This window comes from Homo sapiens, chromosome 17 (genome assembly GCF_000001405.40).
Source record: "Homo sapiens chromosome 17, GRCh38.p14 Primary Assembly".
NCBI lineage: Eukaryota > Metazoa > Chordata > Mammalia > Primates > Hominidae > Homo > Homo sapiens.
The window spans coordinates 18,433,919-18,455,806 of NC_000017.11; the positions used below are offsets into that span (position 1 = coordinate 18,433,919).

The following is a 21,888-nucleotide window of genomic DNA, read 5'->3' on the forward strand; positions in this document are numbered from 1 at the left end:
TGCCCCTCTGCTGGGGAAGAAGCCCTTCTCCACAAAGTGAGTGGGTGGGAGGCTCAGGAGGCCAGAATGGGGGAGCCCCCCGGTGTGCCCAGAGAGCTGAGCCAGTAGAGGCAGTGGTTGCCAGGGGCTGGTGGGGAGACTTGAGTGACTTTGTCCAAGGACCCCAAGTGGGCCCAGGATGCTGGGGACATGTGCCTGGGCTGGATTGGGGACCCAGCTATGGGACTCAAGGAGGGACTCACAGTTCGTCCACACACTCCCTGCCCACTGCACAGAATGTCCTCAAGGCAGAAGCTGCGGATATGTGGTTACCCTGTAGAGCTGCCACACCTGGTCTCGTGTGATGGACACACATATAAGACTCTCAGGCCAGACCCATGCCAGTGGTAGCTGCCTCCGGACCCCCCTTGCAGGGGTTGACCTGGCAGCATGTCTTCTACGGAGACGGATGTGGTGGGGGACACTCATCCATGGCATGACATCGCTCTGCGTCTGGTTTGCACTGAGTCCAGGGAAAGGAGGAGACACCGGTCCTGACCCCAAGAGACAGTGCCTGCCCCAAGGGGACCTGAGGGACTGACAACAGTCCCTCAGCCCTTATGCAGTGTGGGTCTATTGTGGCAACCAAGGTTTTGGGGAGATGAGGGGAACAGAGGGAGCAGAGCCAGGCAGGTCTCCCCACATGCACAGAGCCGAGGGGATAACTGAGCTTGACAGAGACCCGTCCTCACCCTGAGCTGTAGTGACCATTTGAAGAAACATCCCTGAGAGAGGCCCACTCTTTCTCCCACAACCCCTGGGGTCTGCAGCCTTCCCTGGAGGCACCAGCTTCCCGCTCACACTCCTGGGGTGGGGGCAATGGGAGCCCCTCTTGGGGGTTTCCTGAGACTCATACAGGAGTCCGGGCCCCTTGTTTGTGCAGAACAGGCACCCCAAGTGGGTCCAGGCTGCTGAGGACATGTGCCTGGGCTGGACTGGGGACCCAGCTATGGGACTCATGGAAGGACTCACAGTTCGTCCACAGCCACCCTGCCCACTGCACAGAATGTTTCACCCCATCATCAAGGCAGAAGCTGCAGATCTGTGGTTGGATTGTGAAGGGCTATGACAGCCCCACCTTCAGAAGGGGGGCGTCAAACTTGCAGGAGGGGAGAGGACCCCCGAAGGTGGGCCTGGCACTCACAGATTTCCCCAGATCCCTGGAGCCGTCACAGGGGCAGAGCCTGGGCCTGGACATTCGTTCTCCCCCAGGAACCCTGCTCCCTCTGTTTCTCTGCAGGGCCCCAGCACCCCATCGTGGCCTGACTTTAGTGTATTGGGATTGTCTTTACCACCTTCTCCCCCAGAAGACTATGTCTCCAGGGCTTCTCTGTCTTGTTCTTTGAGTCTGAGTGCCCAGCACAGTGTCAGGCACACAGTAGGTGCTTTATAAACACCTGCTCATAAACATAACGCTAGCCACCAGCCTTTGCCAGGTGCTTTATTTATTTGGCCTCAAATCCCCTAATATGCCTGTGACGCAGGGCTGTTATTCCCATTTCCCAGACAAGGAAACTGAGGCTCAGAGAGGCTGAATATCCTGCCCAAGGTTTTGCCCCTGCTTGCCCCGATTCCAGGCTGCTCTGTCCTGGCTCAGTGGGGCTCTACTTTTCCTTCCTCCTGCCCTGAAGCCTGTGGCTCTGGCTTGTCCACCCAGGGCTGGGGGCCCTGCAGCAGCCCCCTCTCTCCCCTCAGCTTCTCTGCCCCCCTCCTCAGCCCCCTAAGCTGCCTCCTGCCTTCCCAGTCTGAGTTGGCTGGGGAGCTTGTAAAACAGCCCCACCAGCAGGCTTGTCCTGAGTGGTGCTGATGCAGGAGTTGGAGCAGGGCTGCGAATCTTCTTGGGGACTCTGATGATCTGTCTGGTTGGAGAATCACTGCAAGCCAAGGCGTGGCATTGGCCAATGGTGATTCCCGGCCTCCTCAGGTATGCTATGATCTCCGCCTCATGCTTGACATGGGCAGGACGAAGGAGGGAGGAAGGAGGCAGGGTGCGGGGAGGAATCCTCTGCCTGGAGGATGCCCACTGGGCTTCTCTATGCTCACCAGGCTTAGAGGTCCTGGCTCTTGGCCACCTTGGGGCAAGTGTGCATCACTGATGCAGAGGAAACGCCTCCTCCTCTTCTGTCAACTCAGATCCTCTGAGGCCCTGCTGGTGCCTCCCTCTGCTGGGACCCTTTCAGGGATCAAGGCCAGGAGGGCAGCCCCCTCCTCTACTGCTGAGGCTCAGCGGGGTAATGCTTACCCCAGCTGCCTCCGGTGGTGTGGGCGTGGCAGGCAAGCCCAGCACCCTAGGGTTTCTAGCCAGGTTCTGCATTTTCCAGCGTTAGTTTTCCCTCCAGGGTCAAATGATAAGTTCTTCTAAGGTCAGAGACTACGTCATCATTTCCCTCTTCACCCCCAGCCCCCGAGAGCTGTGCACACAGCAGCTGCGTGATCTATGGAGTTGGCTGAGCAGTTTGGCGCGTTGGTCAGCAACTTCCTGCAGCTTCTCAGCCCACGCAGATCCTCAGGTCTGCAGTGCTGGGCTTGTGTATAATCCCACCCTGACACCTCCTGGAATGGGGAACTTGGCGGGGGGCAGTGAGCCAATGAGAAAGGGGTGTGTGTGCACGCACACACGGTGGGGGCAGAGAGTGAAGAGTTCTCGGAGACTCCACTGTGAGAGTCGGTGTGAATCCTGGCTTGGGAGTTGGAGCTGGCTCCGGTCTGTGCTCTCTCACTTTTGTGCTGCTTAACCTGGATAAGGCTTTCGCCCTCTCCGGTTGGGGTATTGATAGCCTTTGGTGACCTTGAAGACCATTTTCAGTTCTGAGGGTGATGGGTCTGTGGTTGGACTGGAACTCCAGGCCCACCCTGACACCTGAACGCTGAGGTTTTTGTCCAAGATTCCGGGGTCCCCTTTGTCCCTCTTTGGGGTGGGGGTGGGTGTGGGGAAGAGAGAGATCAGTGTCTCTTTCTATACGGACTGTGTCTATATAGAAAGAAGTAGACATGAGAGACTCCATTTTGTTCTGTACTAAGAAAAATTCTTCTGCCTTGAGATGCTGTTAATCTGTAACCCTACCCCAACCCTGTGCTCGCAGAAACATGCCCTGTGTCGACTCAAGGTTTAATGGATTTAGGGCTATGCAGGATGTGCTTTGTTAAACAAATGCTTGAAGGCAGCTAGCTTGTTAAAAGTCATCACCACTCCCTAATCTCAAGTACCCAGGGACACAAAACACTGCGGAAGGAAGGCCGCAGGGACCTCTGCCTAGGAAAGCCAGGTTTCTCCCCATGTGATAGTCTGAAATATGGCCTCATGGGAAGGGAAAAGACCTGACCGTCCCCCAGCCCGACACCCGTAAAGGGTCTGTGCTGAGGAGGATTAGTAAAAGAGGAAGGCCTCTTTGCAGTTGAGATAAGAGGAAGGCGTCTGTCTCCTGCTCATCCCTGAGCAATGGAATGTCTCGGTGTAAAACCCGATTGTATATTCCATCTACTGAGATAGGAGAAAACCGCCTTAGGGCTGGAGGTGAGACATGCTGGCGGTAACACTGCTTTTTAATGCACCGAGATGTTTATGTATGTGCACATCAAAGCACAGCACCTTTTCCTTAACATTGTTTATGACACAGAGACATTTGTTCACATTTTCCTGCTGGCCCTCTCCCCACTATTACCCTATTGTCCTGCCACATCCCCCTCTGGGAGATGGTAGAGATGGTAGAGATAATGATCAATAAATACTGAGGGAACTCGGAGACTGGGGCCAGCGTGGGTCCTCTGTATGCTGAGCGCCAGTCCCCTGGGCCCATTTTTCTTTCTCTGTACTTTGTCTCTGTGTCTCTTTCTTTTCTCAGTCTCTCATCCCACCCCACGAGAAACACCCACAGGTGTGGAGGGGCAGGCCACCCCTTCAGGTGGGGAGTGTCGGGTTCCCTCTCCCAGGTTTGGCTCTGAAGGCATGTGCATCCATTCTGCTCTTACCTCTGATCCCAGAGTGACCAGGGGAGATGTAGCAGCAACAAAACCCTGGTTCTGCTGAGACAAGGAATTGCCTGCCCCAGTGGAGCCCAGGCAGAGGCAGGCTGTCTCTGGGCTCCTCACCTCAACAGAGGCACTGCAGAGCAAGGCCAGTGGCCAGCACCAAGGGATGCCCCACGGCACCCTGAGGAGGCCCCGTCTTGGTGCCCAGATCCCTCCTCCTCCCTCCAGTCCTCGGTGCTGCACCAGCCTCTCAGGCCAAGGCCACGCCCACCCTGGGCAGACCTCATGCCAGTGATCGTGGGGAGGTGGGTGAGAGTTGGGTATACTGGCCCCGCCTGCAGGCATGGTGGGAGCCTGGAGAGGGCTGAGGTCTGGGTTCTAGTTGCAGCTCTGCAGCTTAAAGCAGAGTGACTTTGAGTGAATCTCCACCTGTCTCTGGTTACCCCTCTGTCCCCTCTGATCAAGAAAATGATATAAATTTGAGATGCACAGAGAGAGGGCTCAGGATGACAGAACAGGCTTAGGCAAGGAGAACAGGCAGGCAGGTTCACATCTCAGCTTCCAGTGCCTGGTGTCTTGGGAAGCCCACTTATCCTCCCTGAATCCCAGCTCCCTCACCTGAGGACTGGTGGCAGGAATAACGCCCCCGTCATCCCTGCTCACAGAACCGTACAACACACACCAGGCTCTCCATGCGTGCCTGAGTGGGCCCATGACCGGTGCTCTCCCCCAGCTCAGCTGGATGAATGGAGCTGCCAGGCCCAGCGTGGGATCTGTGGACACAGGAGAGAGAACTGCTGGGAACGGATCCCCAGCCAGTCCTGTTTCTACAGGGTAGGGGGGAACTCTGAGGCCCACGGCGGGGTCAGGGGTCACACTTGGCTGCAGTGGCAGGACGGGGCTCCCTCCCACCGGCCTGCAGGTGGGGTGCCTGTGATTAGGAGAGGGCGGTAGAGGAGTGGAGGAGCTAGGTGTGGGGCTGTGGTGTTCTTCTGCTGGGAGTGTGGGGGACGCAGGGCCCCGCGTAGCGGTTCGGGAGGGTGCCAGTGTGTAGAGGTGAGTGTGAGGAGCAGGTGGCTGGAGGGGGAGGATGAGGAGGATGAGGGGCAGGGCTGGCCCTTGGGGAAGGGCCAGTGGGGCGCTTCGCACATGTTTCTTTGTGGCTAGTGGTGTGTCATCCCCTTTTACAGATGAGAAAACTGAGGACCAAGGGGCTGTAAGACCAGCCTGTGCTGTACAGCTGGTAAGGGCAGAGCAGGGACTCAGTGCCGCCTGTCTGGCTCCATGGCCAGTGCTGTTTGTATGGTGCACACACTTCTGGAGATCCCGGGGGCTCAAGGCAGCCTCCGGAACTGGAATTAGATCCAAGAGGGGAAAGAGAGTCATAGGATTTTTAGAACCAGAAGGGACTCTGCAATCACCCAGTCCAGCCTGGTCACCACTGAGGGGAAACAGGCCCAGAGGTGGGAGGTGGGGAGCCTCAGGCCACACAGCAAGCAGAGTGAAGACACGAACTCTGCCCCTGCCCAGAGTGGGACATGTAGGATCCCCGCAACTGCTCCCCAAGACAGCCCAGGATGGCATCACTGAGGTCTCTTTCAGCCAAGGCTGTCACTGTGGGGCAGGGAGTTCTTCTGAAGGGCTGACTCACTGCCTGGGGACGCAGTTGCCACAAAGCCACCTGTGCCAAGGCCCCACTGGCCCCAAGGGCTCCAGGAACGGGAGCCTGATTCCCGGCCACCTAGCCTGAGTCACCACCGACTCGCATTTGTGTGTTTTTCTCTCAGCTCCACACTCTCAAAGCTGGGTGGGAACTCTGAGCCAGCACACAGCGGAGTTGATCCTGGGCTGAATAATCCAGAGTGAGGAGTTGGACGGGACTGGGAGTGATGAAATCCAGAGGGGAACCTGGAGTCAGCAGTTAGGAGGGCCCCGCCTTCCCCAGGTGCATATAAAGGTCTCTGGGGTTGGAGGCAGCCACAGCATGCTCTTAGCCTTCCTGAGCACCTTCCCTTTTTTCAGCCAACTGCTCGCTCGCTCACCTCCCTCCTTGGCACGATGAGCACCTGCAGCCACCAGTTCACCTCCTCCAGATCCATGAAGGGCTCCTGCAGCATCGGGGGCAGCATCGGGGGCGGCTCCAGCCGCATCTCCTCTGTCCTGGCCGGAGGGTCCTGCCATGCCCCCAGCACCTACGGGGGGGCCTGTGTGTCTCCTTCTCTCGCTTCTCCTTTGGGGGAGCCTGCGGGCTGGGGGGCGGCTATGGCGGTGGCTTCGGCAGCAGCAGCAGCTTTGCTAGTGGCTTTGGGGGAGGATATGGTGGTGGCCTTGGTGCTGGCTTCGGTGGTGGCTTGGGTGCTGGCTTGGGTGGTGGCTTTGCTGGTGGTGATGGGCTTCTGGTGGGCAGTGAGAAGGTGACCATGCAGCACCTCGGTGACCGCCTGGCCTCCTACCTAGACAAGGTGCGTGCTCTGGAGGAGGCCAACGCCGACCTGGAAGTGAAGATCCGTGACTGGTACCAGAGGCAGCGGCCCAGTGAGATCAAAGACTATAGTCCCTACTTCAAGACCATCGAGGACCTGAGGCACAAGGTGGGTGACTTTGGTGTATGGAGCACTGAGAGAGGCTGGGGCTATAGTGTCCCTTGGGATACCTCTTTTTAGCAATTGCACTTTACAAACAGGGAGACTGGGCACCTTTGGGGAGTAGCCAGGATCATCCAGGGAAGTGGTGGCAGAGGGTCCCTTTTCAGCATCTCTGTGCCCGGACTGGGGCTGTTACCCTGAATCTCTTATTTCCTGCAAGGGTTCAGCTGCAAGTTCCGCTTCCCTGCCTTGGGCCCAGGAAGGGGGTGATCGGGATGGAGTGCATCCCTGCATACCCTGAGCTGGTGGAGAAGGCATGCCAGCCCTGCCAGCCAGAAGACTTCCAGATTTGAGGAGGTTCCTTTTGCCCCTTTCTGCCTTTCACGCTCAAGTAGTAAGGTCCTTGCCTGACCAGGGCTCCTGTCCTCCATCCCCACTCCAGATCATTGCGGCCACCATTGAGAATGCGCAGCCCATTTTGCAGATTGACAATGCCAGGCTGGCAGCTGATGACTTCAGGACCAAGTGAGCAGCCAGCATGGTGGGCTGGGGGCAGAGGGCAAGGGACAAAGAGTGGAGCTGTCCACCCAGCAGGGCCAGCAGACCCCGAGCCTCAGAATCCTCAGGGCTGCAGCCTAAGGACCTGACCTCTGTCCTGCCAGTTAGGAGCACGAGCTGGCCCTGCGGCTGACTGTGGAGGCTGGCGTCAATGGCCTGTGCCGGGTGTTGGACGAGCTGACCCTGGCCAGGACTGACCTGGAGATGCAGATAGAAGGCCTGAAGGAGGAGCTGGCCTACCTGAGGAAGAACCACTAGGAGGTGTGGTTGCTGCTGGCTTCCGGGATGGGAGGCTGGTTTGGTGGGGTTGCCAGATGCACCCAGGGCCAGGAGAGGAGTCTGCTGAGCTGACCGCCTCCTGCCATCCCTTCCCAGGAGATGCTTGCTCTGCGAGGTCAGACCGGTGGAGAAGTGAACGTGGAGACGGATGCCGCACCTGGCGTGGACCTGAGCTGCATCCTGAATGAGATGCGCAACCAGTACGAGCAGATGGCAAAGCACAACCACAGAGATGCTGGGCCTGGTTCCTGAGCAAGGTGGGGCTTGGGCCCTCAGTGGGCCTGCAGCACTTCCCAGCTGGGGGCTTTGGGAGAGCCTCACCTTTCACTCTGCTTTCCTGTCTCAGACCAAGGAGCTGAACAAAAAAGTGGCCTCCAGCAGTGAACTGGTACAGAGCAGCCGCAGTGAGGTGACGGAGCTCCAGAGGGTGTTCCAGGGCCTGGAGATGGAGCTGCAGTCCCAGCTCAGCATAGTATGAAGGACCCGGCACAGCAGCAGCCCCCAGGTCACCAGTAATGGCCACCACCCCCTCAACAAGCCACAATTTAGTTCCACCTTTCTTTTCTCAGGATGGGACCAGAGGACTCACGGGACCTGTTATATAGATAGAGAAACTAGCCCTAGAATAGTGGGCTAGCATTTCTCTATATTGTCTGGCCCATCAGTACCCCAACTGGGATCAAAATCCAGGCACCTCTCAAAAAACATGCCCAGAGACCTGGAGGGACAGGAGTGACCACCTCCATTGACTCTTTTTCTCTCTCTCACTTGCAGAAAGCGTCCCTGGAGAACAGCCTGGAGGAAACCAAAGGCTGCCACTGCATGCAGCTGTCCCAGATCCAGGGACTGATTGGCAGTGTGGAGGAGCAGCTGGCCCAGCTATGCTGTGAGATGGAGCAGCAGAGCCGGGAGTACCAGATCTTGCTGGACATGAAGACACGGCTGGAGCAGGAGATCGCCACCTACCGCCACCTGCTGGAGGGCGAGGACGCCCAGTGAGTCCCAGGCCCCTCAGTTCTGCCTCCCAGACCCTTTAGCCCCCCTGCTGCTCTCAGCACAACTGACTGCCCTGCCTTTTCTCACCCACAGCCTTTCCTCCCCACACGCATCTGGCCAATCCTGTTCTTCCCGAGTGGGTAAGGCTCCTGAGGCTCCCCGGCACTGCAACCCCTCTGCCTGTTTCCATGGAGTGGGGGCCAGGCCCTTCTCCTGAGAGCTCCCAGCTCTCCCTTCTCCCTGCCCTGGAGTTGGCTTAGCTCTCAGACCCCTTCTCACCTCCTCTTCTCTCTCCCACAGTCTTCACCTCCTCTTCGTCCTCTTCGAGCCGTCAGACCTGGCCCATCCTCAAGGAGCAGGGCTCATCCAGCTTCAGCCAGGGCCAGTGCTCCTAGAACTGAGCTGCCTCTACCACAGCCTCCTGCCCACCAGCTGGCCTCACCTCCTGAAGGCCTGGGTCAGGACCCTGCTCTCCCAGCGCAGTTCCCAGCTGTCTCCCTGCTCCTCTACTGGTGATGGGCTAATAAAGCTGACTTTCTGGTTGATGCAAACCTGTGTGATCTCTGTTCTTGAACTGATGGGAGGGGAGTTGCAGGTGCTTTCCAGAAACCTCCTGGAGCCTCACAGCCTGAGAGATGTGGGAAATGGGACAAATCTCAGAAGATCTTGAAGGCTCTTCCTGGAAGACCTCCATGCTCTATGGAAGTGGGAGGTGGGACACAGGATGGGGGAGTGTCCACACGTGCTGACTGACACCATGGAGGCATTCTACAGAGGTTATTTTACGAGGTTGCCCTTGCAACCCTGTGAGGTGGGTGTGGTCAGGCCCATTTTGGAATTTGACAACCCCCAGAATTCAGAGTTTCAGTAACTTGCGTAAAATCATGCAGATAGTAAGTGGCACGGCTGGAGCTCAAACTCAGTTCTGTCTGTCTGCAAAGTCCATGCCTTTCTTTTAACACCACTCTACCTTTTCAGGTATTTTAACCCGAAGACTCCCACGCTTGAATCTTAACTCTACCCATGGGCTCCCCCACATCTGCACACAGTTTCTACATTGGAGGGTGGAAGGGAGTGGTATCTGCCTTGAGAACGATGTCCTCGTCAGACCTGAAATCCTCCTTCTCCCAGCCTGCTTCTCCTCACACCCCATCAACTCCTCCTTCCTCATTCCCCTCAGCTGGTGAATTGCGTGCTGATGAGCACCCTAGGAAACACCTGCTGCCCCATGGCCATTGCCATGTTCAGATCTTCTTCCTCTCTCCCTAGACCTGGGCACAGCCTAACTGGGTCCCCTTGAGAGTCAATCTCATCCACATTCAATTTCCACTGAATGATTTCCACCAGAATGTGGTCAGGATCAAGAACAAGGGTGAGATCAGGACTCCCCTGCTTAACAGCCGGCGATGGATCCCATTCCCCTCCAGCACTCAGCCTTCAGTCTCAACCCAGCTTGGTGTCCTCCTGTCCCTCCCAGCTCCAAACCCCCGAGTCACCCCTACCTGACTGAGATATGACCCATACCTCTCAGTTGCCATTCCTTCTTCCTGGATGCCTTCCATATTTTAAATATTTAAATTTAAAAAAGTTATGTATGTATAACATCATAAGCCTTTTTTTTTTTTGAGACAGAGTCTTGCTGTGTCGCCCAGGCTGGAGTGCAGTGGTGCGATCTCAGTTCACTGCAAGCTCCACCTCCCAGGTTCACACCATTCTCCTGCCTCAGCCTCCCAAGTAGCTGGGACTACAGTCACCCACCACCATGCCCGGCTAATTTTCTTTTGTATTTTTAGTAGAGACAGGGTTTCACCGTATTAGCCAGGATGGTCTCGATCTTCTGACCTCGTGATCTGCCTGTCTTGGCCTCCCAAAGTGCTGGGATTATAGGCGTGAGCCATGGCACCCGGCCAAGACTTTTTTTTTTATTATTATGCTTTAAGTTATAGGGTACACATGCACAACATGCATGTTTGTTACATAGGTATACATGTGCCATGTTGGTTTGCTGCACCCATCAACTCATCATTTACATTAAGTATTTCTCCAAATGCTATCCCTCCCACAGTCTCCCACCCCCTGACAGGCCCCGATGTGTGATGTTCCCCGCCCTGTGCCCATGTGTTCTCATTGTTCAACTCCCACCTATGAGTGAGAACATGTGGTGTTTGGTTTTCTGTCCTTGTGATAGTTTGCTTAGAATGATGGTTTCCAGCTTCATCCATGTCCCTGCAAGGGACATGAACTCATCCTTTTTTATGGTTGCATAGTATTCCAAGGTGCACATGTGCCACATTTTCTTAATCCAGTCTATCATTGATGGACATTTGGGTTGGTTCCAAGTCTTTGCTATTGTGAATAAGACTTTTTTTTTTTTAATGAAAAAGCCATCCCTAGACTGGATACCACAGCTCTGTTCCTGCCTCCCCTTTTCAACTTCAGCTGTTTCTTTTGGGATTTGTCTCCTTACTTCTAAATAACAGGCTTTACCTTGTTACTGTTTGGTTTTTCTGTTTCAGTTTTTAATTGCTTGACTTCTGGCTGTGAAGGATGAGGATGTAGATCTGTTATACAGCATTGCCCTTCCCCACTTCTTTTTAAAATATCTTCTTCCCACCTTCTCAATATATTCATATTTTTGTTAAATAAATGTTTACATTATCATGACTATTTAAATGTTATTCATAGTCAAATCATATATTATACTATATTACATTTTATACTATATTAAATTTCCTTGGAATAAATATCTCTTTTTCAATTTGCCTAAACTTTCTATGTATTGATGATTAATTTGTTTCCTGATTCACTGCTGGAAGCATAAATCTCCTCAGTATTTTAGAACCCTGGGTGTTCCTTCAATTTCATCCTCATGAAGATGTGTCTCCTAGGGCCTTCTGTCCTGCTCTTGTCTGTTCTGGGTGCTGTTTGGGTCTCCTGCTCAGCTGTGATCCTGGAATCTCTCTTCACCATCATCCTGAAATCCTTCTTTTTCCTGTGTTGCTTTCCTTGTTTTCTGGATCCAATGTCTTCCTCCTTCCTGTTTTCATTTTTCCCTTTGTTTTAGTGAAGCACATCCTCAAGTAGTTTCCTGGGAAGGGAGTTATCAGGGTTAAATTTTTTTAGACCGTTTGTGTCAAAAAGATCTTTAGTTGATCCTCACTCTTGACTGATAGTTTGGCTGGGTATGGAATTCTAGCTTGGAAACCATTTGCACTCAGCATTTGAAGGTACAGTTTCAGTGTTTCTTGGATTCTGGTGTTGCTGTTGAGAAGTCTTATGCCATATTGATTCTAGATCACGTCTTATTATCCTATTCCCACACTCTTCCCTAGAAGCTTTTCAGTTCTTCTCTTTCTCTCCAGCAGGCTGAAATACCATGTGTTGAATTGATGCAGCTGTGACTTCATCCACTGGCTGGACACTAGCAGAAACTTCCAATGTGGGAGCTCATGTTGTTCAATTCTGGCAAATTTTCGTGTTTCATGATTTCCTCCCTCCATTTTCTCTCTTTCTGAAATGGCTCTTTTTCCTATGTATTCTGTTTTATTTTCCGTCTTGTCTTTTTTTCTTTGTTGCTGTTTTCTGAGAAATTTCTTTAACTTTGACCTCTAACTCCATTATTCAGAGTTTTAAAAAATCTGCTGTATTTGGCCGGGCACAGCATCTCATGCCTGTAATCCCAGCACTTTGGGAGGCCAAGGTGGGTGGATTGCTTGAGCCCAGGAGTTCAAGACCAGCCTGGGCAACATGGTAAGACCCTGTCTCTACAAAATATATAAAAATTAGCTGGATGTGGTGGCCTAGGCCTGTAGTCCCAGCTGCTAGGGAGGCTGAGGTGGGACGATCACTTGAGCCTGGGAAGTCAAGGCTGCAGTGAGCTGAGATCACACCATCACATTCTAGCCTGGGCAACAGAGTGAGATCCTGTCTTAAAAACAACAATAATCTTTTATATTTTTCATCTCTCATAGCTCTGCATGTTTTTTCAACAGTCTCTTGTTCTTGTTTCAAGATGCAATGGTTTCTCTGATCTCTTTGAGCCTATTAGTCCTGGCTCCAGCAGTGCTTCTATTTCTGTCATCAGCTCAGTTTCCTCAGTTTCTTTCTTGCTGTTTGTCTTGCCTCCATCTTTCATGCCAGAGGCTTTTCTCAGATGTATGGTGGTCCTTGGTAGTCGTTCATATTTAAGAGTAAGTCACTGAGAAACTGATTGGAATATGTGTATATGTGTATGGATAGCATGGGAGCTTGCCACTGGTAGGTCTCAGTATAGAGTAATCTGGTGGAGAATAAGCTGTTTCGTTGGGGGACAGTTATCTGTAGGACTTTTCTTGGGGAGGGTCTTCCTCAGAAGGAATACCTCTAATTCCCTGTCTGGATTGTAAAAGCTACCAGCTTTCTGGAAGCTGAGTGCAGGAAGGGGGCAGAGAAGGTCTCAGTCTCAGCTACTCTGCTACTAGTTGATTGCAGTTTATTGGCCCTGCTTGGTGTCTCAGGATTCAGAGTCCCTCTGGGGAAATTCTCAAGCATAAACATCTAGTTTCTCCTGGAGTAATCGTGGAGTGGTTGGGTTCAGACAAGGAAGGGAGAGAGGAGCTATAGGGGCCTCTCTGCTTTTTTTTTTTCTTTTCCCGAGATGGTGTCTCACTCTGTTGCCCAGGCTGGAGTGCAGTAGCACCATCTCGGCTCACTGCAAGCTCTGTCTCCCGGGTTCACACCATTCTCCTGCCTCAGCCTCCCGAATAGCTGGGACTACAGGCGCCCGCCACCACGCCTGGCTAATTTTTTTGTATTTTTAGCAGAGACGGGGTTTCACCGTGTTAGCCAAGACGGTCTCGATCTCCTGACCTCATGATCCACCCGCCTCGGTCTCCCAAAGTGCTGGGATTACAGGCATGAGCCACCGTGCCCGGCCACCTCTCTGCTTTTTATATAGATCTCTAGCTCACCCTACTATTTCTAGTTCACTTGTTCCTCACTGTCAGAGGTACCTGGTGCCCCCTATTCCAGAGACTTTCCAGAGTTCTTAAAAATTCAGAGTTAAAAAGTTCCAGAGTGTAAATATGCTTTGCCTCTTGGCTTCTCTCTGGGCAAGCGCTGGGCTTTCTTTGTCTTTGTTTTCCAGATTCCAAAATTTGATTGCTATAATCTACTTTCCTGATCTCTTTGACCCCATGGATTTTATCCATTTACAATAATTTTAGTATTGGCACGGGGCTCCCCCATGTAGGGTGGTGCAGGGAGACTCACTAACCACAGGAGGTCCTGCCCGGGGCTCCTCCTTTACCCCCTTCCTTTTGGGGCAGGCTGGAGGGAGGGTCAGGTAATGCTGCTCACACAAAGCCTGCCTGGAAGTCCAGAGGTGGGGGGTACTCTGGGCCTCAGCTGTCAAGACTGGCAACCCTTTAACCCCTGATAACCCAGAAAATGCCCTCCCTTAAAATGTCTGAGTACCATGCTTCTTTGGCATCAGGGAGGGGACGGGAGTGTGGTGTCCTCTAAGTCTGCTCCCTGCTTGGCCGGGCTGTTTGCAGCTCCTTGGTCACTGAGTCCTTGACTGCAGGGGAAGAGAGGTTGGCCTCAGGCTCCAGGTTAGGCCACGGTTCTGAGAACCGGTGTGGGGGATCAGGCTTATATTCCATGCTAGAGCTCCGGAGTCGGTGCGTGGGGTTGGGATGGGGCTGCAGAAGTGCCTTTTAAGATTATGTGCATGGACTGATCTGTCACTGGTTCCCTGCCATCTTTATCTTTTGGATTCCCCTTGGAGCAGGGGGAGGAAGGAGTTTCTTTTGGGTTCCATTGAATCAAATGAAAGGGAAAGTAAAGCTGTTCCTATGTCCTGGGCTCTGGAGCTTCTATTCCTGATCCCTGCAGAAGAAGGAGACGGTGGTGGTGGTGGGTGGGGGTGGCGGGGCACAGAGGAAGCCAGTACCGGGCCCTGCACCCCATTCCCACTCCCAGATCCCTCTGGACACAGCATTTTTCTCCAGTGAGCACAGCCTTCCCTTGCCCCACAGCCAACAGCAACATGCCTCCCAACAAAAGCATCTGCCCCTCAGCCAAAACCCCTGTTGCCTCTCTCTGGGGAAATTGTAGGACTGGGTCAGGGTGGGGGAACCATTCTCTGCAGGGAGATTAGGAGTGTCTGTCAGGGGTGGGTGGAGCGGGGTGGGGCCCTGGCTTACTCACATCCTCGAGAGTCCTTTGCTGGCAGATTTGGGGAGCCCACAGCACAGGTGTCTGTCTCAGTATTGTCTTCCAAGCTCCTAGGCCACAGTAGTGGGGGGCTCCCCTCTCTGGCTTCTTCTTTGGTGACAGTCAAGGTTGGGGGTGGGGTGAGAGAGGGTCCTGCTTCTCTTCTAGGAACAGTTGATCCCAGGAAGAGCAGTGGAGCCTCCAGCAGGGGCTGTTGGGGCCTGTCTGAGGAGATAGGACGCGTCAGGCAGCCCCAGACACGACCACATTCCTCCCAACATGCCTGCTGGGGTCTGTGGAGCCCAGGGGCTGACGGGAGGGTGGGGTGGGGGCCGGAAGGGTTTGCTTTGGGAGGTTGTCTGGGAGATTGCTGAAGTTTTGATATACACACCTCCAAAGCAGGACCAAGTGGACTCCTAGAAATGTCCCCTGACCCTTGGGGCTTCAGGAGTCAGGGACCCTCGTGTCCACTTCAGCCTTGCCCTTGGCACAGCCTGGCACCACTCCAGCTTCTACTCCTCCCCAGAACATCTCCTGGGCCAGTTCCACAAGGGGCTCAAACGAGGGCACCTGAGCCAGACTTCTGCCTACACTAGGGATGTTCTGGGGGTCTGAGAGGATATCTGGGGCTGGAAGAAAAAAAGGCCCCCCTAGGCCTGTTCCTGGATGCAGCTCCATCCACTTTGGGGCTAAGCCTGGGCTACAACAATGCCAACCAGGCTTCTTGCCATACTCGGTTTACAAAAGCCTTTCACATACGCTGTCGCATTGGCTTCTCACAGCTGACTGCAGTAGGCAGAGTAGATGGTATGACTCCCACTTTGCAGATGAGAACACTGAGGCTCAGAGAAGCGCCAAGCCCTGGGTCACGGGGCCGTAAATGGCAGAGCCAGGACCCACCTGACTCCAGGCTGTTTCCTGGCCTCCATGAGGCCACCCGCCCTATGGTGTGGTGGATGTCAGATCCTCACCGTAGGGAGGAAATTAGGGTCTGTGCCCGGGGCTGGGGAGAGCTGCCTGGATTTCTCTTTGATGGGGGTGTTGGGGTGGGAATCACCATACACCTGACTGGCTGAGTGTATTTCAGGGATGGGACAGGCTTCTCAGCACAGCATGGCAGGTCAGGCCTGGGAGGGCCCCTCAGACCTCCTTGTCTCTAACAGCGGGTCATGGTGAGGGACGCCTCTCTGTGCCCAAGGTGACCTTGCCATGCCGGTGCTCTCCAGCTGGGTATCTGTCCCCTGCAGTGGTGGGCTTCCTCTAAGTGGATGGTAAAGGCCCATCCAGTTCATGGAGAGCTAGCAGGTCACCAGGTTTAAGGTGCAGAGGCCCTGCTCTCTGTCACCCTGGCTGAGCCCAGTGTGCGGGTTCCTGAGGGCTGGGACTCCCGGGGCCCCATGGGAAAGTGTAGCCTGCAGGCCCATACCTCCCCCTGTGAATCATGCCTGGCGGGACAAGAAAGCCCAAAACACCCCAAACAATGAGTTTCCAGTAAAATATGACAGACATGATGAGGCGGAGGAGAGGAGGGACCTGGCTGGGAGTTGTCACTAGCCTGTGGGTGATGAAAGCCAAGGGGAATGGAAAGTGCCAGGCCCGCCCCCTACCCATGAGTATAAAGCACTCGCATCCCTTTCCAATTTACCTGAGCACCTTCTCTTCACTCAGCCAACTGCTCGCTCACTCACCTCCCTCCTCAGCACCATGAGCACCTGCAGCCGCCAGTTCACCTCCTCCAGCTCCATGAAGGGCTCCTGCGGCATCGGGGGCGGCATCGGGGGCGGCTCCAGCCGCATCTCCTCCGTCCTGGCCGGAGGGTCCTGCCGCGCCACCAGCACCTACAGGGGTGGCCTGTCTGTCTCCTCCTCCTGCTTCTCCTCTGGGGGAGCCTACAGGCTGGGGGGCGGCTATGGCGGTAGCTTCAGCAGCAGCAGCAGCTTTGCTAGTGGCTTTGGGGGAGGATATGGTGATGGCCTTGGTGCTGGCTTCGGTGGTGGCTTGGGTGGTGGCTTTGCTGGTGGTGATGGGCTTCTGGTGGGCAGTGAGAAGGTGACCATGCAGAACCTCAACGACAGCCTGGTCTCCTACCTGGACAAGGCGCGTGCCCTGGAGGAGGCCAACGCTGACCTGGAGGTGAAGATCCATGACTGGTACCAGTGGCAGCGGCCTGCTGAGATCAAAGACTACAGTCCCTACTTCAAGACCATCGAGGATCTGAGGAACAAGGTGGGTGAATGGGCAGCAGAAGGTGCCATTCCAGCTAGCTCCTTCTGGGAACAATAGATGCCCCAGGACACTGACACCTTAAGATTTCTCTATAGGACAGAGCCCACCCCAGATCCCTTCTTTCGAGGTCTTGGATGCCCTAAGAGCTGATCAGTGAGAGGATGCTCTCTCTTCCCCAGCCTGCTCATCCCCTTCTGATGTCAAATCCTCAGATCAAGTGAGATCAGTGAGTCCTGTCCTTACATTTTACAGAGGAAGCAGTTGAAGCTTTGAGAGGTGCTGTGACCAGCTGCAGGTCACATAGCAAATTAATGGCAGAGCCAAGGCTGGGGCCCTTGTGTCCTACCTTCCAGCACAGGGGAGGAGCGAGGCTCTAACGGGAGCAGGCAAGACATCCAAACCGCTCATTAGCTCACTAGTCTGGGCTGTGGCTGCCGCCGCCCATAAGCCTTAGTACAGTCTGGTCCCTCCCCACAGCCAGGCAGTCATGGAGAGCCTGCAGAGACAATCAGTGTGGCCCCTTGACGTGCCCTGCACAAAGGGAGCCTGGCAGGCTTGTGCCCTGGCTCCAGCCCCCTCCTCCCTGCTCCCACCGAAAATCCTTTGCTTGACTTAACTCACTGCCCTTTAGCCACACAGGACTCCTGCCCTGGCAGTCACTTTGCTTGTTTCCACCTCAGGACATTTGCACATGCTGTATGCCCCTCCCCTTTTTCCTTCTCCTGGCTCACTTCTCCTCCCCCTTCACTCAAGTGTCTCTTTCTCAGGGAGAAGGTCACTGATGCCCCCAACCATGCCACACCCTTTATTATGTGCTCTCCATTCCCCCACCAACCATGCTCACCTCAGTTGTGAATTGCGTGTTTATTTCTGCAGGTCTATTTTATTCCGTAACTGTTCATCAAGATAAGGGCTTGCTCATTACTTTATCGCCAGCACTCAACCCAATGCCTGGCACATAGTAGGTGCTCAATAAAGGATGAATCTGAATTTACAGTGAGGAAACAGGTTCAGAGAGGGGAAGCAACTTTCCCCAAATAAGTGGAAGAATCCGGCTTTACACTATGACCTGCCTGGCTCCGAAGCCGGTGCTCTCAGCCTCCCTGCTAGGTGTGTCCCAGCAGACACAAGCCTGGGGTGCCTAGACTCAGGTGGAGGCACCTATGCGGGCCCACTCCATCCCCTCACTGTGGTCTGATAGGGTCTGGCTGGGCAGAGTGGTGGCAAGTGCCTGTTGTATGAGAAAGAATCAGTGTTGACAGACAGGTGCAGGTACCCACAGCCCTGCACCAGTGGGCAGTGCACACCTGCCTAGATGGCGCATGGAGGCTCCAGGGGAGGAGCCGTGACTCAGCGGGTGCTCCCTCTCCCAGCAGCCAGCCACATGCTGACTCAGGTCCCTCACTTGCCCCACCTGGGGATCAATGACAGACAGCAATGGGGAGTAAGTTGAAGGTGTGGGAAGCAAGAGGGCTCCCATGACCAGAGCAAAGCTGTCCTTGTGCAGCCTCCAGGTCCCCATGTCCCCCGTGGACGATACCTTTGCCTCTGGGGACACCTTGCAAGTAGGGTCTTTGGTTCCCTCTCTGTTCCTCTGTCTGCCTATCTGGGTCCTTGCAGCCCTTCTCTCCTACTCCATCCACTCTCCAAATGGAGGGCCTGCATTTGGGGAATATAAGTACTGAAGGCAAACTGCCTGGGTTTGAATTTTGTTCTGTCCCTTGCACCCTGCCTGGCTTCAAATCCTAGCTCTGCTTATTAAGTTCTTTTAAGGTGATGATCTTTGAGCAAATGTCTTAGCTTCTGTTTTCCCAAGTAAATGGACACAATAGTTGCTACCTTGTGAAAGATTCATGTAATTGACCAGTGTTTACCAAGTAGCATCAGTGTTCAGTTTCAGTCATTGGTGATTCTGCAGTTGGACTGTGATGGGGTGTTGGGGTGGGGGTGGTGTGTGTGTGTAGCACTTAATTGCACGCAGAAAGGAAAAGATACTTTTGATGACCCAGAGGCAGCTTTTCTCTGCTTTTGTGTCAAAAGGGAGGAATGGAGTTTGGAGAGGGAAACTAATTCTGTTCAATACTAAGCTCTCTTCCTCAAAATCAGAGGTACATAGAATGTGTAATAACTTACAGAATTTCTAGACTTCAACAATCTGAATTTTTTAAAATTCATTTTTATTTTTTCAGGTTGAGACTGAGCTAAAGTTAATCTGTGGCGACATTCTGAATGTACTGGACAAACACCTTATTCCAGCAGCTAACACTGGCAAGTCCAAGGTTTTCTATTATGAAATGTAGGTTCTATACTAAAAATTAACAAGTGTACTTCAATAATTTTAAACACGCTCAGGAATAATTGGCTTTGTTTCTTTTTTTCTTAGCTATTTCCTATTATTTTCCTTATTAAATATAACGAAAAATCCCACAGAAATTAACTGAGGAGCCTCTAAATATCAAGAAAATTATCACTTGATAGACTAGAATTAAACAAGCAAGTGGTTCCAAGAAATGGCACAAGTGTATTAATCATAAAATAAAATTTCTACATGAAACTTTCAGCCAGCACTGTGAAATGTGTGGCCGTTTAGGGGAGGGGAATGAGATAGGTCCCATGAAAGCAAAAGAATATAAATAGGTAAAGCAAAAGCTAATGCATTTTTTATAATAGCCTGACCATCTTTTTATCCCAACATTGACTATCCTTCTAACATTAAACAATTATTTTTAAATAAAAGTTGGAAACCTACATAGAAGAAAGTCATGATTCTAAAAAGGCCAACTTTTAATCTTACATTTTCCTTTCTAGTATAGAACCTACATTTCCTAATAGAAAACCTTGGACTTGCCAGTGTCAGCTACTGGAGTGAGGTGTTTGTCCAGTGCATCCAGCACCTCGCCACAGATTAACTGTAGCTCAGTCTCAACCTGAAAAAATAAAAATATACTTAAAAAAATCAGATTGTTGAAGTCTAGAAATTCTGTAAATTATTACACATTCTATCTACCTCTGATTTTGAAGAAGAGAGCTTAGTATTAAAGAGAATTGGTTTCCCTCTCCAAACTCCCTTCTTCCCTTTTGACACAAAAGCAGAGAAAAGCTGCCTCTCGGTTATAAAAAGTATCTTTTCCTTTCCGCGTGCAATTAAGTGCTACACACACACCACCCCCCACCCCAGCACCACCTCACAATCCAACTGCAGAATCACCAATGACTGAAACTGAACACTGATGCTGCTTGGTAAACACTGGTCAATTACATGAATCTTTCACAAGGTAGCAACTATTGTGTCCATTTACTTGGGAAAGCAGAAGCTAAGACATTTGCTCAAAGGTCATCACCATAAAAGAACTTCATAAGCAGAGCTAGTATTTGAACCCAGGCAGGGTGCAAGGGACAGAACAAAATTCAAACCCAGGCAGTTTGCCTTCAGTATTTACATTCCTAACAACGTGCAACAGGCAATCCCTTTAGTGGAAGAGATCCAAAACTAGTTAAGATACCAAAAATCTATGGACCAAAGTAACTATTGCCACTCATCTCTATTCATTTACAATGCTGAAAAGGTACAACACCTCTAAACGCACATACCCAGCTTGCTTCCTTTTTTTTCTTTTCTTTTCTTTTTTTTTTTTTTTTTTGAGACTGAGTCTCACTTTGTCCCTCAGTCTGGAGTGCAGTGGTGCGATCTCGGCTCACTGCAACCTCCGCCTCCCGGATTCAAGCTATTCTGGTGCCTCAGCCTGCAGAGTAGCTGGTATTACGGGCACTTGCCATCACAACTGGCTAATTTTTGTATTTTTCTTTCTTTTTTTTTTTTTTGAGACAGACTCTCGCTGGTCGCCCAGGCCGGAGTGCAGTGGCACGATCTCCGCCTACTGCAAGCTCCGCCTCCCGGGTTCACGCCATTCTCCTGCCTCAGCCTCCCGAGTACCTGGGACTACAGGCACCCGCAACCATCCCCGGCTAATTTTTTGTATTAGTAGAGACGGGGTTTCACCGTCTTAGCCAGGATGGTCTCGATCTCCTGACCTCGTGATCCGCCCACCTTGGCCTCCCAAAGTGCTGGGTTTACAGGCGTGAGCCACCGTGCCCAGCCCCTGATTTTTGTATTTTTCTTAGTAGAGACAGTTTCACCGTGTTGGCCAGGCTGGTTTCAAACTCCTGAACTCAGGTGATCCGGCTGCCTCAGCCTCCCAAAGTGCTAGGATTACAGGCATGAGCCACCACGCCTGACCTTATCACAGTTTTTTGTTGTTGTTGTTTTTTTTAAGAGACGGAGTTGGCCGGGTGCGGTGGCTCACGCCTGTAATCCCAGCACTTTGGGAGGCGAGGCGGGTGGATCACGAGGTCAGGAGATCGAGACCATCCTGGCTAACACGGTGAAACCCCGTCTCTACTAAAAATACAAAAAATTAGCTGGGTGTGGTGGCGGGCGCCTGTAGTCCCAGCTACTCAGGAGGCTGAGGCAGGAGAATGGCGTGAACTAGAGAGGCGGAGCTTGCAGTGAGCCGAGATCACGCCACTGCACTCCAGCCGGGGCCACAGAGCAAGACTCCGTCTCAAAAAAAAAAAAAAAGAGAGACGGAGTCTCACTCTGTTTCCCCGGCTGAAGTGCGGTGGTGCGATCTTGGCTCACTGCAACCTCCCGCCTCCTGGGTTCAAGCAATTCTTTTGCCTCAGCCTCCCGAGTAGCTGGACTACATGTGCACGCCGCCACGCGTGGCTAATTTTTTTTATATTTTAGTAGAGACGGGGTTTCACTGTGTTGCCCAGGCTGGTCTTGAACTCCTTAGCTCAGGCAATGCGCCCGCCTCAGTCTCCCAAAGTGCTAGGATTATAGGCATGAGCCACTGCGCCTGGCCTATCACAACGTTTTAAAAGTGAACATATAAATATTCCTTACATGTGTATCTACATTATTAAAAACCATAAACCAACTGAAGTATAAATGGGGGAACAGTTTAACACACATCAGTAAGACTGAAACTTATTTATGCTAAGACAGAAAACATAAAATGATGAGTGCTAGGAGAATAAC

The 21,888-nt window shown here is 52.7% G+C and overlaps 2 long non-coding RNA genes and 2 pseudogenes across 5 annotated transcripts, besides 1 other annotated feature; 2 read left to right on the plus strand and 2 right to left on the minus strand.

Annotated features, from left to right (window-relative positions):
• Nucleotides 1-4,533: 4,533 nt before the first annotated feature.
• LOC105371570 (uncharacterized) lies at nucleotides 4,534-6,139 on the minus strand. The gene is made up of 2 exons (XR_001752811.1): nucleotides 6,051-6,139; nucleotides 4,534-4,781 (listed from the first exon to the last, which is right to left on the minus strand). It is a non-coding gene; the product is annotated as an uncharacterized LOC105371570 (long non-coding RNA).
• Nucleotides 4,645-5,294: an enhancer, noted in NCBI's record as "H3K27ac-H3K4me1 hESC enhancer chr17:18341877-18342526 (GRCh37/hg19 assembly coordinates)". NCBI's record gives its function as "activates a minimal SCP1, AML or CMV promoter by ChIP-STARR-seq in naive H9 embryonic stem cells {active_cell/tissue: H9 hESC(naive)}" and the evidence as "EXISTENCE:reporter gene assay evidence [ECO:0000049][PMID:30033119]".
• KRT16P1 (keratin 16 pseudogene 1) lies at nucleotides 5,990-8,977 on the plus strand (annotated as a pseudogene). Its single transcript, NR_073414.1, has 7 exons — nucleotides 5,990-6,599; nucleotides 7,036-7,118; nucleotides 7,256-7,412; nucleotides 7,527-7,687; nucleotides 7,777-7,902; nucleotides 8,205-8,425; nucleotides 8,520-8,977. The product of NR_073414.1 is annotated as a keratin 16 pseudogene 1 (transcript).
• Nucleotides 8,290-14,846, minus strand: LOC105371569 (uncharacterized). 3 transcript variants are annotated; one of them, XR_934296.3, is made up of 4 exons: nucleotides 14,616-14,846; nucleotides 13,881-14,294; nucleotides 8,706-9,054; nucleotides 8,290-8,405 (listed from the first exon to the last, which is right to left on the minus strand). It is a non-coding gene; the product is annotated as an uncharacterized LOC105371569 (long non-coding RNA). The 3 variants fall into 3 exon arrangements; XR_007065653.1 differs by having other exon boundaries at nucleotides 8,290-8,402; nucleotides 13,881-13,983; nucleotides 14,616-14,823; XR_934297.2 differs by having other exon boundaries at nucleotides 13,881-13,983; nucleotides 14,616-14,823.
• KRT16P4 (keratin 16 pseudogene 4) lies at nucleotides 16,266-16,849 on the plus strand (annotated as a pseudogene).